The sequence below is a fragment of the Homo sapiens genome, chromosome 5, assembly GCF_000001405.40.
Source record: "Homo sapiens chromosome 5, GRCh38.p14 Primary Assembly".
NCBI classification, from domain to species: domain Eukaryota; kingdom Metazoa; phylum Chordata; class Mammalia; order Primates; family Hominidae; genus Homo; species Homo sapiens.
The window spans coordinates 41,135,689-41,151,149 of record NC_000005.10 but is presented as its reverse complement, the minus strand read 5'-3'; the positions used below and the strand labels follow the sequence as shown (position 1 = coordinate 41,151,149).

General features: G+C 38.9%; 1 protein-coding gene and 1 long non-coding RNA gene across 15 annotated transcripts in view; one reads left to right on the top strand and one right to left on the bottom strand.

Moving 5' to 3' along the window:
- Positions 1 to 9,034, top strand: part of C6 (complement C6) — a 119,354-nt gene extending 110,320 nt beyond the window's left edge. For 10 of the 13 annotated variants that reach the window (XM_047417689.1, XM_011514119.4, XM_011514114.4 and 7 more), the window contains 3 exons: positions 1,125 to 1,215; positions 1,641 to 1,909; positions 8,144 to 9,034. In XM_047417689.1, coding sequence (XP_047273645.1) covers positions 1,125 to 1,215; positions 1,641 to 1,909; positions 8,144 to 8,325 — 542 coding nt within the window. In that variant the 3' untranslated portion in view covers positions 8,326 to 9,034. The remainder of the gene's footprint in view (positions 1 to 1,124; positions 1,216 to 1,640; positions 1,910 to 8,143) is intronic. The other 3 variants (NM_001115131.4, XM_006714496.5, NM_000065.5) reach the window with 1 other exon arrangement.
- LOC105374739 (uncharacterized) overlaps positions 1 to 15,461 on the bottom strand; it is a 90,060-nt gene that overhangs the window by 10,267 nt on the left and 64,332 nt on the right. The window lies entirely within an intron of this gene.

Here is a 15,461-nt window from a genome sequence, read left to right as displayed (position 1 = left end):
AAGCCATAATTAATTTCTTTTTTTCAAAATCGAGGGCTGATTTTGTTACACCACTCCCTGCTTAAAACCTATCAGAGACTGTCTACTATTTATAAAATGAAGACAAAACCCTTCAAAGACCCTATTAGCCTCCCACACAGCCTACCAGACACCTACCTCTCTGGCCACATCTTGTTCCATCCTCTTGTTTTTCAGCACTTCAACCACACTGGGTTCTTTCAGTTCCAGGAAACTCACATGCTGCCTGCCTTTTTTTTTTTTTTTTAGACAGAGTCTTACTCTGTTGCCCAGGCTGGGTGCAGTGGCACAATCTCGGCTCACTGCAACCTCTGCCTCCCGGGTTCAAGTGACTCTTTTGCCTCAGCCTCCTGAGTAGCTGGGACTACAGGTGCATGCCACCATGCCCTGCTAATTTTGGTATTTTTAGTACAGATGGGGTTTCGCCATATTGACCAGGCTGTTCTCGAACTCCTGACCTTGTGATCTGCCTGCCTCAGCCTCCCAAAATGCTGGGATTACAAGCGTGAGCCACTATGCCCGACCACTGCCTCCCATTTGAACTTTTCCATACCTTATGTTTCCTCTGTATTGAACAGCCTCACCTTTCTTCATTTTACTTTTTCTAATCTTTCTAGCTACATCAATTTTTTATTATATGCTTCTCTTTGATAGCCCTAAGAAAGGCAACAATTCTATATTTATATTAGTGTGCTCATTTGATTAATGTCTGTCTGCACCCACAAGACTATAAGCTTGGTGAGCACAGGATCTGGGTCAGTTTATGCTCAATCTACTCTCTCCAGAACCTTACAGAGTGATGAGAATATCATGTATACTCAATAAATATTTGAAAAACAAATGAACAAAAATTTCAACAGTTCCATTTTCTTTAGTTATCTGAACATAATCGCAATTTTAGGTTGGAAAATGACACCTCATGTGCACTGGAAAGGACCTTTCAGGTGGAATATTTAATGACAATGTATTTAGAGAAGCCAAAATGAATGATCTAACTCCAAGAGATAAATATGAATCCTTTACCACTGCCTCTTCTCTGAATTCAAGCTTATCACTTAGAATCCATGCTGTGCACTGTTCTTTTCTCCTTTTTTCTTTTGTTTCAGATACTCTAACAAAATTAAAAGGCCATTGTCAGCTGGGACAGAAACAATCAGGATCTGAATGCATTTGTATGTCTCCAGAAGAAGACTGTAGGTAAGAGATACCCTACAGACTGTGTCTGGAAATTGGGAAAACCAGTCTAGTGTAACCAATTTGATGGAAGAGCTGAGCTTTTTGAAGCACAGACATGAAATAAATGAATTTTCCACATAACTGATATTCCTGTGCTCTGCTGAATTCCTCCTTCCCCATTGGGTAGCAAGTTTCTTAATTATCTCTCAGCCCAGTTCCCTGTTTAAAATGAGATTGTTCATTATAACAGTCTCATTTTGGTTTTAAAGACTTAACTTCTGCACATGTAAAAACTTTAAACTCAGTTATATCAACACTTTCCTGTTCCTCTCACTCAAGCCCAGGGCTTGGAGTGGGGTGGGGAAAACAGGCAAAAGAAAACTGGTTGGTGAGTGAACACACTACATTGGCTACGTGCCCCCTGTTTTTTTCTGATCTTCATATAGAAATGCTTGCTTTCCTCTCTTGGGCAGCCATCATTCAGAAGATCTCTGTGTGTTTGACACAGACTCCAACGATTACTTTACTTCACCCGCTTGTAAGTTTTTGGCTGAGAAATGTTTAAATAATCAGCAACTCCATTTTCTACATATTGGTTCCTGCCAAGACGGCCGCCAGTTAGAATGGGGTCTTGAAAGGACAAGACTTTCATCCAACAGCACAAAGAAAGAATCCTGTGGCTATGACACCTGCTATGACTGGGAAAAATGTTCAGGTAAGTTCCAATGGTGACCATACTAAATGCTCTCACTTAACCTTCATCTCAGCTAGTACATCATCTTTCTTAAAAATAACCTATCCTTAATCAAAAATAATTCCTTTTCATTGTAAAAAAAATTCATAAAATGATTTAAACAGAAAGGAAAATTATAATCACCCACAAGTAGAAATAACTACTGTAGTAATGTGGGTGTATATCTTGCCAATCTTTTCTCTATGCATATGTAATCAGTACCACCCTTAGGCCCCAGTGGGAAGAGCACTTGTCCCGATCTCGTGTTTCAGGCATCCTTCCGAGTCCCAGCTTTGGAGGGCCTTCACCAGAATTGTCTAAGTTTCCTTCTAGTGTTTGGGACTGTCTGAGGCCAATAGTGCTGTCCAGGTAGGACTGGATTTTGCATTGCCAAAGCATCTTCCTGAAATTTCTTTCAGTCTTCTTTCAGTGCCTTAGTCTAGCCAAGGCTGACAATACTATTCAGGCAGGACACCCTGAGCCCAGACAGCATCCCACATGAACCCAGGCACTGTTATACTTTCCAGCTCTCTACTGCTTCTCCTCCCCACCATGCGTGGGGTCAGCCAGATGCCCCAAAGAGCTCTGGGGCTCATGCCTGTGGAGTCATCTCTGGCCCAGACTAGACCCTCATTCTCAGAAAACAGCTTGGTGAACAAATTGCTGCTGCTAGCCAGCAGGGCATTCTTGCTCAAGATTGCTTGAAATTAGAAAGCCAGTATGATGCTGACACTCTAATTTGGGGTGACTCTAATAGTTTATAGATAAGCACCCCATAAAAAAATTGGCCCCTGGGTCTTGAACATTTCAGGAGTGGCCCCGTATATACTACAAATTTTTAAAATATAAAATCGGAGCATACTCTACATGTTATTCTATATATTGCTGTTTTTTCACTTACTATGTCATGGAACTGTTTCCATGTCAACATATATTATTCGGCCACATAATTCTCAATGTCTGCAAAAGTCTATACGGGTATTCTATGATTTATTTAACCAATCTCTGGTTAGGCATTTAAATTTTTTCTCCTGTATTTTGCTATCATAAATAGTGCCATCATACCTAAATCTATCACAAATAAATCTGTGAGCTAAGATTACATCCTTCAGATATAGCTTAGAAAGGGACATTTCTAGGTAAATATTATTTTTAAATTTTTTTTATTGATACAATATGTTGGCTGCCTATCCAGAAATGTTTTTGCCATATTATATTTCCTAGAACATATAGTAAAGACTGCTTTCCCACACTCTCACCAAACCTTGGAGTTATCACTCCTTTGTATCTCTGCCAATTTAATACTTAAGGAGTAGCATTCTATTTCCATTTTCCCTAAGTTTACTGGCCATAGACATTACAGTTGTGAATTATTTCGAGGCAGGGACTTCACAGCAGTACATTTGCTCCAAGATGAAGTTTGACCCTGAAATAGCCCAACTAAGCTTTATTTCTTTTTCAAAAGACGGATTGGAGATTACAACAGAACCCAAACAGTTAGAGATATTTCCTTTGTGGAACATTTTCCAAAAAAATTATCTTAAATTGGAGCATAAAGTATGCAAAGGAATCTTTGCTGAAACCACCTTACTTTTGCAAAAAGAAAGACAAAAACCATATTGTTCCTCTTGACTCTTTTTTGACTTTGTGGCCCAGTGTTCTTCAGCTCAGTCCTGGAAAGGGGAGAGGTCTTATTACTCAAAACCAGTTCTTTTCCGATCCACTTAAGGTTGATTATCAAGCTTCAGCTCCCTTGACAGGCCACAAGATTGAAACATGACAGAGGGTGGACATAGCTGGCATCTGATGGTGACAACTCAGGATGCCAGTATCTGGGGTTTTCAACCTTCATGCCATGTCTAAACAAAGCAATTCCATATAAGTTACAGAAAACTAGGGCCTGATATGCACGTTGCTTAATTCTAATCACTATTAAATAACTTTTTAGACAAAAACTCTACTATTCATTTTTTTGATGCTTGATCAACACCATTACTCAACTGACGTCTCTTGCAAACAATAATCTGTGATAGAAAAGAGCTGAAAGTATTATACAACATCATTTTTATTTTAAATATCAACTTTTTATCTGAGAAATGTAGTATAAGAACATTATTGTCAAAAATACATAGAGAAAATAAAATTTGGTCAGCAGGGAAGTTAAGAACTGTTCCCTGACTGTACTGTAATAGATAGGTCAGGCATTTGGGGCTGTATTTAGTGTTACCTTCCATTCTTCCTTATTTATCATAGAGAAGCAGTCTTCAGAGAACTCTTCTATTGGAAATAATTTTTTTTTTTGCTATCTTCCCTTTTTTTGCTATCTTCCCACAAATTTTTTTTCAAATCTGCCTGAGTGAAAAATAACAGTTTACAATTTTATCGAAATACCTGTCTTTACTATTACCGCTTTGCTGTACACATATCTAAATCCTCACATACTTGAGGTGTTTAACTTTGTTTTAAAAAAAAAAGTACTAAAAACTGTGAAATTAACAGAATGCTTTGGGTAGTCAAACTAATACATGAACACTTCTTAATAGAAGATATATTTAGGCAATTTAAAATATTTTTTGGTTCTGCACACAATCAGGAAACTCAAAGCATTTTTTTCCTCTAAAGATATGATCTTTCTCTGCTAGCTTTCTTTAATTGGTGAGCAAAAGTAAATGTCACAGAGGGTTCTGTTTGGATTAGCACTATAGAAAAGTATCAATATACAAATGATAGCATTTATGAAGACAGAGAAAGCTAAAAATGTACTTTATACCCAGGCCACTCATGGGAAGTTGGAATATTAGTAATTTTCAGTTCAATTGAATGTCACTTTGATTAAACTGTGTTCTTGATTACATTGTGCTCTTAGCTACTCTTTTCCTTCTCTATCTAAAATGGAATTTTAAAAAACTTTAAAATAGAACTTCAAAGTAATATGAAGGTCACCTTTCAAAAGTTACAACATGAATGAAATCCCCCAGAAGCCTATTTTATAGATATTAAGTATTTTATCTGAATTTCAGAAATATCTACCACCAACCGACAGGAACGGGAAATTTTTTCAGCCAACATCCATTTAGCAGCCATGATGATGGTTTTAAGATGAGGCACCCTTTTTACCCGTCAAATTTTTGGAGGAGTAACATTAGACAATAATTACATGAATCACTTTAGTGCAAGTCAGGATGTGATAAGAGCATTAAGAGAGAGAAATATCTTCTGGTCTGGAAGGGTTTCTTAAGTATAGAAGCGTGAGAACTGAGTGTTGAAGGATGAATTAGTAGAGGTGGTGGGAAGGGTCTTTTGGTGCTGGTAGTTCTGAAAATAATTAAGCAAAGAACATTTAAGCTATATCCATACTAAAAGGGTAGTGACCATGGCCCTTCCAAAAACCTAAGGAACTGATGTCCTAACCAGAGGTGGAATAGTCCCCTGTCTTTCACCAAACTCCATCCCTTCCATCAATGGACAAGAACATTCTTTCCAACAATGAACAAGAATCTTCTCTAGCTGGTTGATGGAGAGCATAGTACGGAAATGCATGCTTTTCCATAAAATGTTTCCTACCAAGGGCAAGATGCCCAGGCATGTGGTGCATATGAGTATCTCCTACTTCCTTTCCCTATTTTTCCCCATCAGTTGAGACACATGGGAAAGAATCGATGTCTGCCTAAAATAAGCTATTCATTCATGACCTCATTGCTAATACTCACGCTGACTCAGGTATTTTGGCAACATGAATTATTCCAGATCCATTAAATAAATTTCTTTTTTGTACACTTATACCTGCATGCACAATTCAGAATTTCAAGTCGGTTGATCCAGAAGAATTAATTGAGCGCCTTGTTAAGAGTTGATAGGACAGATGAGCCACACTGCTCTCCAAAAAAGCACTTATCATTGTCTTGGGGAAAAGACATATGAAAATCTAACTAATAAGAATGTATACAAAAATGTCAGTTTTTGTAAAATGACAAGTTTACACCACTAAAATTTAGCTAAATAAAAGATCTGCTTTAGTTCAACCATTGTGGAAAGCAGTGTGGCGATTCCTCAAAGAACTTAAAACAGAATTCCTTGAAGGACTTAAAACATAATTACCATTTGACCCAGCATTCCCATTACTGGGTATATACCCAAAGGGGTATAAATCATTCTATCATAGAGATACATACACAGGTATTTTATTGTAGCACCATTTACATTAGCAAAGGCATAGACTCAACCTAAATACCCATCAACAATAAACTGCATAAAGAAAATGTGGTACAAATATACCATGGAATGCTATGCAGCCATAAAAAACAATGAGATCATGTCTTTTGCAGCAACATGGATGGAGCTGGAAGCCATTATCCTAAGCAAACTAATACAAGAACAGAAAACCAAATACCACGTGTTCTTACTTGTAAGCAGGAGCTAAACAATGAGAACATACGGACACAAAGAAATAACAGACACCAGGGCCGACTTGAGGGTGGATAGTGGGAGTAGGGAGAGGATTAAAAAACTACCCATCATGCACTATGCTTATTACCTGGGTGATGAAATAATCTGTACACCAAACCCTTATGGATTCAATTTACCTATATAACAAACTTAACACATGTATCCCTGAAACTAAAATAAAAGTTAAGAAAAAGAAAAAAGAGAAAATCTGGTCAGACATTGTGGTCCACGCCTGTAATCCCAGCACTTTGGGACACCAAGGCAGGAGGATCAGTTGAGCTCAGGAGTTTGAGACTAGCCTGGGCAACATAATGAGACCCTATCTCTACAAAGAGTAATAGATTAGGTGAGCATGGTTGGGTGCACCTGTAGTCCCAGCTACTTGGGTGGCTAAGGTGGGAGGATCTCTTGAACCTAGGAGTTCGAGGGTGCAGTGAGCCATGATTGTGCCATTGCACCCCAGCCTGGGAGACACAGTAAGACCCTGTCTCAAAAAAAAAGAAAAGAAACGATCAAAAGATCAGAATATGGTTATGTTGCTATGAAATGCTTCATTGAGGAGGCAAGACTTGTAGAAACTGGACGTATGGGGAGAAGTAGGAAAGAGCACATCAGTCTGGCAAAAGAGGCAGATGACATAGGAGAAAGAACAAAAACTGGAGCACTTTTGGGGTCTTGTTGGGGAAACAGACAGTTAAACTACTTGAAATGGAGAAAGTAAAAAAGATAATGTTGAAAATGGAAGTTGAGGCCAAACAGTGGAAGACTTTGACCTTTGACTAAAACATACATGTAGAATATATGAGCCTATAAACCTTTGTTCAAAATTAATTTGATATACTCAACTTTGGTAACTTTATCTCTAAATGATTGTTTTAAACCTATTTCATGAACATAAGACTTAAATGAATTATGAAGTGCTTTGGTGATTCCAAAAGCAGGCCTCATAGGAGAATCACTCAATTTAACTGCCTACTAAAAATACAGATCCCCAGGCATAACCCAATAATATTCTAGAAAGAAAGAAACAAATGTGATATGGAGTTATGTTAAAGAGCTCAGGCCTGTGAGTCATGTATTATTTAAATCCTGCTTCTACCATTTACTAATTGTGTGGCAATGCGCAAAGGGCTTACATTCTTTGAGCTCAGTTTCCTCTTCTGTAGAATTAGTATGATAGCCTATTCATATGTTTGCTGTAAGGGTTCAAAAAAATAAAGCATGTAAAGTGCTTGGCATATTGTGTGGCTTCACAGTACATGCTCTACAAATGATAACGATGAATGTAGTTAGGCAATGCCAATGTTAAAAATAAAAATAAAATAAAACAGAAAGGACAGGCTGAAGACATTGGAGAAATGGATTGATAGGACTAGTGCCTGATTGAATGTAGGCAGTGAGTAAAAGGGAGGTGCCAGAGATAGTGCAAATCCTCATTGGATGTGGACAGTGAGACGGGGGAAGTGCCAGAAATAGGCCAACTCTTTAAGCTTACTGGCTTACTAGTGCCCTCTAGTCTCTTATATACAGATCTCTCTATTCAGTCACAGTTGGGTCTTTGGGGTCATTGCCTTTGGTGGGTTGTTTTGTTGTTTTTGTTTTGTTTTGTTTTTAATTTTTATTTTTTGGCTTTCTCATTCATTAGAGAAAGCTTTAGACCAAACTTAATTTAACACCATCAAGGAGCTCGCCACCCTGGGGATGATTTAGATAAAGCCAAACCCTAATGTACTGTGGTAAGTCACACTGTCTCTCTCTCTCTCATTACAGCCTCCACTTCCAAATGTGTCTGCCTATTGCCCCCACAGTGCTTCAAGGGTGGAAACCAACTCTACTGTGTCAAAATGGGATCATCAACAAGTGAGAAAACATTGAACATCTGTGAAGTGGGAACTATAAGATGTGCAAACAGGAAGATGGAAATACTGCATCCTGGAAAGTGTTTGGCCTAGCACAATTACTGCTAGGCCCAGCACAATGAACAGATTTACCATCCCGAAGAACCAACTCCTACAAATGAGAATTCTTGCACAAACAGCAGACTGGCATGCTCAAAGTTACTGACAAAAATTATTTTCTGTTAGTTTGAGATCATTATTCTCCCCTGACTCTCCTGTTTGGGCATGTCTTATTCAGTTCCAGCTCATGACGCCCTGTAGCATACCCCTAGGTACCAACTTCCACAGCAGTCTCGTAAATTCTCCTGTTCACATTGTACAAAAATAATGTGACTTCTGAGGCCCTTATGTAGCCTGTGACATTAAGCATTCTCGCAATTAGAAATAAGAATAAAACCCATAATTTTCTTCAATGAGTTAATAAACAGAAATCTCCAGAACCTCTGAAACACATTCTTGAAGCCCAGCTTTCATATCTTCATTCAACAAATAATTTCTGAGTGTGTATACAGGATGTCAAGTACTGACCAAAGTCCTGAGAACTCGGCAGATAATAAAACAGACAAAAGCCTTTGCCTTCATGAAGCATACATTCATTCAGGGGTAGACACACAAAAAATGAAATAAACAGGTAAAATATGTAGCATGTTTGATGGTGATAATTGTTTTGGAGAAAATACAACACGGAAGGGTGAGTCCCATCCTTAATTATCATCTTATGCAAGGAAATATTCCATAACAATAAACATCGCTGTAAGGATGATTGAGCTCCAGTGGAAATTATCTTGTTTAAAGTTGTTAAGAATAAACTTCTGGAGTTCTATTCTCTCAGAAAGTAGAAAAGAGATTCCCTTTGCCTCAACTAAAGTGCACCTTAAAGTTTTAGGCTGAAGTGTGTGATGGATAGAAAATTGTCAGAGAATTTTGAAGGAATAATTTTTTAAGGTAAGTCATATCTTTTCATTAGGCCATACAAAGCAGAAACCAGTTTATTAGCGAGGCTAGGGTGTCAATTTTAATTGGAGAAGAGAGGCATCTTTGGAGCAGCAGTTCTCAAATATTAGGGTGCATTAGAATCACCTAGAGGGTGTGTGTGTTCAGATAGATGCCTGGAACCACCCCAGTTTCTAACTCAGTAGTTCTGGGGTGGGGCCTGAGAATGTGTGTTTCTAACAGCATTCCAGGTGGTACTGCTTATGAGCATCAGGACATCACATTTTGAGCATACCGAATTTAGAGATGGAGTCATCACACAGCTAACTCTGATTAAGTAATTGATCTCAAAACCATAGCCAACCTCCAAGCAGGTGAGTGGAAGCAGATTCCCTTCCAGCAAAACTCACTGGGATCCCCACCTCTTGGAAGGAGTCTATGAGCCACAGCTACCTGCCAACCCCATCCCCAGACCTTATACATGCAGCTCCTCCTCCATCTCATTGATCATAGGATGTCCGCAAAATCTAACATATATTATAATATTAAAGGAGAAGAATGGGGAATGAAAACACCTATAAACAAAAAAACATTTTCCTGGTGTAACAGAGGTTGACCATGACCTTTTCTTTTCCCAGGAGTCAGTAACCCATCTATTTCCCAGTCATACCACCCCACTCTCTTCTCACTCTAAGTGGTACAGGCCACTCCTGTAAGCATCATAAGCCTTCAGCACACCCGAGACATCAGCTGAGAGCAAAGAAGTATTAAATACTCCCACATCCTAAGGAGAGTCACTAACAATTAAATCAATAAACTTTCCCTAGGATTGAATTGGCTCTGTTTGACCCAACTCTCATGCCAGCTCTACAACTTTCCAGGCTATAAAATGGGACTAGATGAGTAGGGAAAGGAGTCATGGGAATCTGCAGCCACAGGAATGCGGCATTCATAGTGGAAGTCCCGTTCTTCTCCTAAGTCCATTCTCTCCCTTTGGTGAGGAGGAGGAGGAGGATGCTGAAAATGTCCACTGAAGCCAGGCAACCAAAGTCCCAAGACAATTAATTGTAGGGTGTGATGAAACCACGTTTGCTAAAATTGTAACAGTGAGAAAATTATGTCTGTGAGAGAGATCTGATCTAACCAACCCCCATCTTGCCTTTAGCCTTCAAACTACTCTTAATTATTCCTGGGCTTGGGCCAAGCTAACTTTGGGAGACATTTAATTTATAGTGTAAATGATAATAGCCCCTCCCCCAAACTCAGTGGCCTTTGTAAAGCTAATGAGAGACCACCACACTAGGAGGATGAGAGGAACCTGGATTCTGCTAAGGTGTGGACATACATGATTAGCCACACATTATTCCAGATGCACAAGATGTACAACTTCCGCCAATTACTCCTGCAAATAACATCACTATTGTAGAACCTAAGATTGGTCTTTTGAGATGTCTTTTCTGGTTTTTTGCATCTGATGACCAATGGTTCCACCTGGAACCACCAACTGCTCCTGTGGCCCCATCCAAAAGTGACTCAGTGAACAAGGGGACCATTTCCCACACTCCTGTAATTGTACTCCCAACAAATCAGCAGCAAGTACCCATTGCCTAGCCATCCTCCCTCTTCCCCCAAACTATCTTTGAAAAATCCTGGCCTTTGAAGTTTTAGAGAGACTGATTTGAGTAATAATAAAACTCAGGTCTTTCATTCAGCTGGCTCTGTGTGAATTAAGCTTCTTCTCTATTGCAATCCCCTGTCTTGATAAATCAGCTGTCTCTGGGCAGTGGACAAAATGAACTGATTGGGCAGTTATAGTGGGGTTACCTACAGTATGGATATATGGTGCTGCCCTAGCTTGCTAGAGGCTGTAGAATCTTACAGCTGCCACTTAGCACCTGGAAGGTGCTAATCCACACTGGGGTGGTTCTCCCTTACGTGAGCTAAGACCACTTCCTGCCTAGCAAGTGCTGAAGGCAGGATGCTTACAAGAGTGGCTTGCCCCTCTCTCATAGTTGCAGTCTGACTAGGGAGAAGATGGATACAGCCCTTTTCTCCATCTGCATCCCATGGCACAGGGAAGTAATGAAAACTTGGTGGCTCCTGTGGAGCACAGAGAAGAGGAAAGGCCAGCACTGGCACTGGAGGGAAGAAGGAGATGAAATGAAAATCAGATATGAGATTGGAGACTTAAACTGGACCAACTTTCAAAAAACAGAAAGTGACCAGAAATCTGTCTGATCTGTGCCAGAGCTAAGAAGAATGGAATCTGGCAGACCCTAGTGAAAGCTAGAGTTGCCATACATAACAAAGTCATACAAACAGAAACATTTTGTCTCACAATTCTGGTGGCTAGAAATCTGAAACCAAGATGTTGGCAGGGCCATGTTTCCTCTGAAACCTGTAGAAGATAATCCTTCATTGTCTCTTCCAGCTTCTGGTGTTTGCCAGCAATTTTTGGCATTCCTTGGCTTATGGATGCATCACTGCAGTTTCTGCCTTCATCACCACGTGGCTGTCTTTGTCTTCCTTCTGTCAATATCTGCCCAAATTTCCATTGTCTTATAAAGATGCTAATCTTGTTAAACTAGGCCCACCCTAAATGAGGCAGAAGAGTAGGGTCTGGAGGTAAGGAACATAAGGCCAATTCATGATTTACGCTGACTTCCTAAAACTAAACCAAATGGAAACACTTCAGCTAAGACAGGAAATAGCCTCTCCATTTACCTAGTGTGTACACGGAGTAAATGACTTTGTAACTTTACTTCATCCTTTTTATTTCCATAGGGCATACACCAAGTAACCAATGGAAACCTCTAGAGGGTACTTAAACCCCAGAAAATTCTGTAATGGGGCTCTTGATTAGTTGGTCTTTTTACCACTTCAGCTACCTTTGTTTCAAAGAATTTTTTGAGTGCACTAATCCATTAAAGTTTGCATTAGGCTGATTTGCATACCATTTGCCAGCTGAATTTTTACACTCTGATGTTAATATTAAGATAGCAATTTAGTACAATAAGTGTTAAGAGCTAGTGACAAAATTATCAACATGAAGTGAAGAACAAAACTGAAACATATTAAATATCTGGTATTTGGACCTCCCATCTCCAATTCTGTACTAGAAGATTAAATAAATTCCAGATCAAAGGTAAAATCTTTATCTCTTTGGCTATTAGAGATGAATACTAAGTCTTCGTGTTTGCAGCTTAAGTAACTGGAAATCAATTCAGCTCTTTTTTAAATATGGATTTGAATTGTTGATGGTTCTGCAATATATTGACAAAATAAGTGAGACCCCAGCTTAAGAACTTTATGAATAGGCATGTTATGTATTTCTGATGTCCTGGAAGCAAAGACACAAAAACAATTCTAAGACTATGATTTTAAAATTCCAGTCCTCTCTTTATCTGCTAGTCAAGCTTAATCAAAGATTTCCTCTTTTGAGCAGTCTTCAATAAAGCTCACTAAATTTTAGAATATGTTACCGTTTTTTCTCTTTCTACCAAAGCCTTCAACTCCTACAACCTACACTTTATAGTTTTAAAGATTGAGCTCCTCTGTTATTTCCAAAAGACCACCTATAAGCTATCCCTAAACCACATTCCTTCCTAAAATCCAATTCTGAGTAACAGGAATCTGACAGATCATGATGTTTCTGGTTGGGTACAAAACTACCCCGAAGCTTGATTAATTGGATTCTAAATGGCTGGCTCTCTCCAAAGTCACCTTCATTCTTTTGGACATCATGTGTGGAATCAATGAGGCATTGAGCTTCTAACCAAACAAATAGCCTGCAAAATTATAGTTGTATCCAGTCCATTTTATGAACATAAGACAGGCCACTGCTACCCTATTTGTCTTCTTGACAAGTTCTAGCTGCACAGTTTCAGTTCCAAATGTCAAATATCAGTTAAGAGAGGTGTGTGTCACCAATCAAGGGACTCCAAGGAACAGATGGCACACTGAAAGTCATGCTCACAAAGATTTATATAGAAAGATGCTCATCACAACATTATTTATAATATCAAAAAATGACAGACCCTAACTGTCCAATAATAAATCATGGCCCCTCAATATAAAGGAAAGTATGAGGTCACTGACAAGCATCTTTTTAAAATGATATTAAGGGACATAATAAAAAGTGAAAGACCTGGTATTTTATTCTCTTTGAAGCAATTGTGAATGGGAGTTCACTTATGATTTGGCTCTCTGTTTCTCTGTTATCGGTGTATAAGAATGCTTGTAATTTTTGCACATTGATTTTGTATCCTGAGACTTTGCTGAAGTTGCTTATCAGCTTACGGAGATTTTGGGCTGAGACAAGGGGGTTTTCTAGATATACAATCATGTCATCTGCAAACAGGGACAATTGGACTTCCTCTTTTCCTAATTGAATACGCTTTATTTCCTTCTCCTGCCTGGTTGCCCTGACGAGAACTTCCAACACTATGTTGAATAGGAGTGGTGAGAGAGGGCATCCCTGTCTTGTGCCAGTTTTCAAAGGGAATCCTTCCAGTTTTTGCCCATTCAGTATGATATTGGCTGTGGGTTTGTCATAGATAGCTCTTCTTATTTTGAGATACATCCCATCAATACCTAATTTATTGAGAGTTTTTAGCACGAAGGTTGTTGAATTTTGTCAAAGGCCTTTTCTGCATCTATTCAGATAATCATGTGGTTTTTGTCTTTGGTTCTGTTTATATGCTGGATTACATTTATTGATTGGAATCCAACTTACAAGGGATGTGAAGGACCTCTTCAAGGAGAACTGCAAACCACTGCTCAATGAAATAAAAGAGGATACAAACAAATGGAAGAACATTCCATGCTCATGGGTAGGAAGAAACAATATCGTGAAAATGGCCATACTGCCCAAGGTAATTTATAGATTCTATGCCATCCCCATCAAGCTACCAATGACTTTCTTCACAGAATTGGAAAAAACTACTTTAAAGTTCATATGGAACCAAAAAAGAGCCCGCATTTCCAAGTCAATCCTAAGCCAAAAGAACAAAGCTGGAGGCATCACGCTACCTGACTTCAAACTATACTACATGGCTACAGTAACCAAAACAGCATGGTACTGGTACCAAAACAGAGATATAGATCAATGGAACAGAACAGAGCCCTCAGAAATAACACCGCATATCTACAACTATCTGATCTTTGACAAATCTGACAAAAACAAGCAATGGGGAAAGGATTCCCTATTTAATAAATGGTGCTGGGAAAACTGGCTAGCCATATGTAGAAAGCTGAAACTGGATCCCTTCCTTACCCCTTATATAAAAATTAATTCGAGATGGATTAAAGACTTAAATGTTAGACCTAAAACCATAAAAACCCTAGAAGAAAACCTAGGCATTACAATCAGGACATAGGCATGAGCAAGGACTTCATGTCTAAAACACCAAAAGCAATGGCAACAAAAGCCAAAATTGACAAATGAGATCTAATTAAACTAAAGAGCTTCTGCACAGCAAAAGAAAATACCATCAGAGTGAACAGGCAACCTACAAAATGGGAGAAAATTTTTGCAATCTACTCATCTGACAAAGGGCTAATATCCAGAATCTACAAAGAACTCAAACAAATTTACAAGAAAAAAACAAACAACCCCATCAACAAGTGGGCGAAGGACATGAACAGACACTTCTCAAAAGAAGACATTTATGCAGCCAAAAAACACATGAAAAAATGCTCACCATCACCGGCCATCAGAGAAATGCAAATCAAAACCACAATGAGATACCATCTCACACTGGTTAGAATGGCAATCATTAAAAAGTCAGGAAACAACAGATGCTGGAGAGGATGTGGAGAAATAGGAACACTTTTACACTGTTGGTGGGACTGTAAACTAGTTCAACCATTGTGGAAGTCAGTGTGGCGATTCCTCAGGGATCTAGAACTAGAAATACCATTTGACCCAGCCATCCCATTACTGGGTATATACCCAAAGGAATATAAATCATGCTGCTATAAAGACACATGCACACATATGTTTACTGCGGTACTATTCACAATAGCAAAGACTGGGAACCAACCCAAATGTCCAACAGTGATAGACTGGATTAAGAAAATGTGGCACATATACACCATGGAATACTATGCAGCCATAACAAATGATGAGTTCATGTCCTTTGTAGGGACATGGATGAAATTGGAAATCATCATTCTCAGTAAACTATCTCAAGAACAAAAAACCAAACACCGCATATTCTCACTCATAGGTGGGAATTGAACAATCAGAACACATG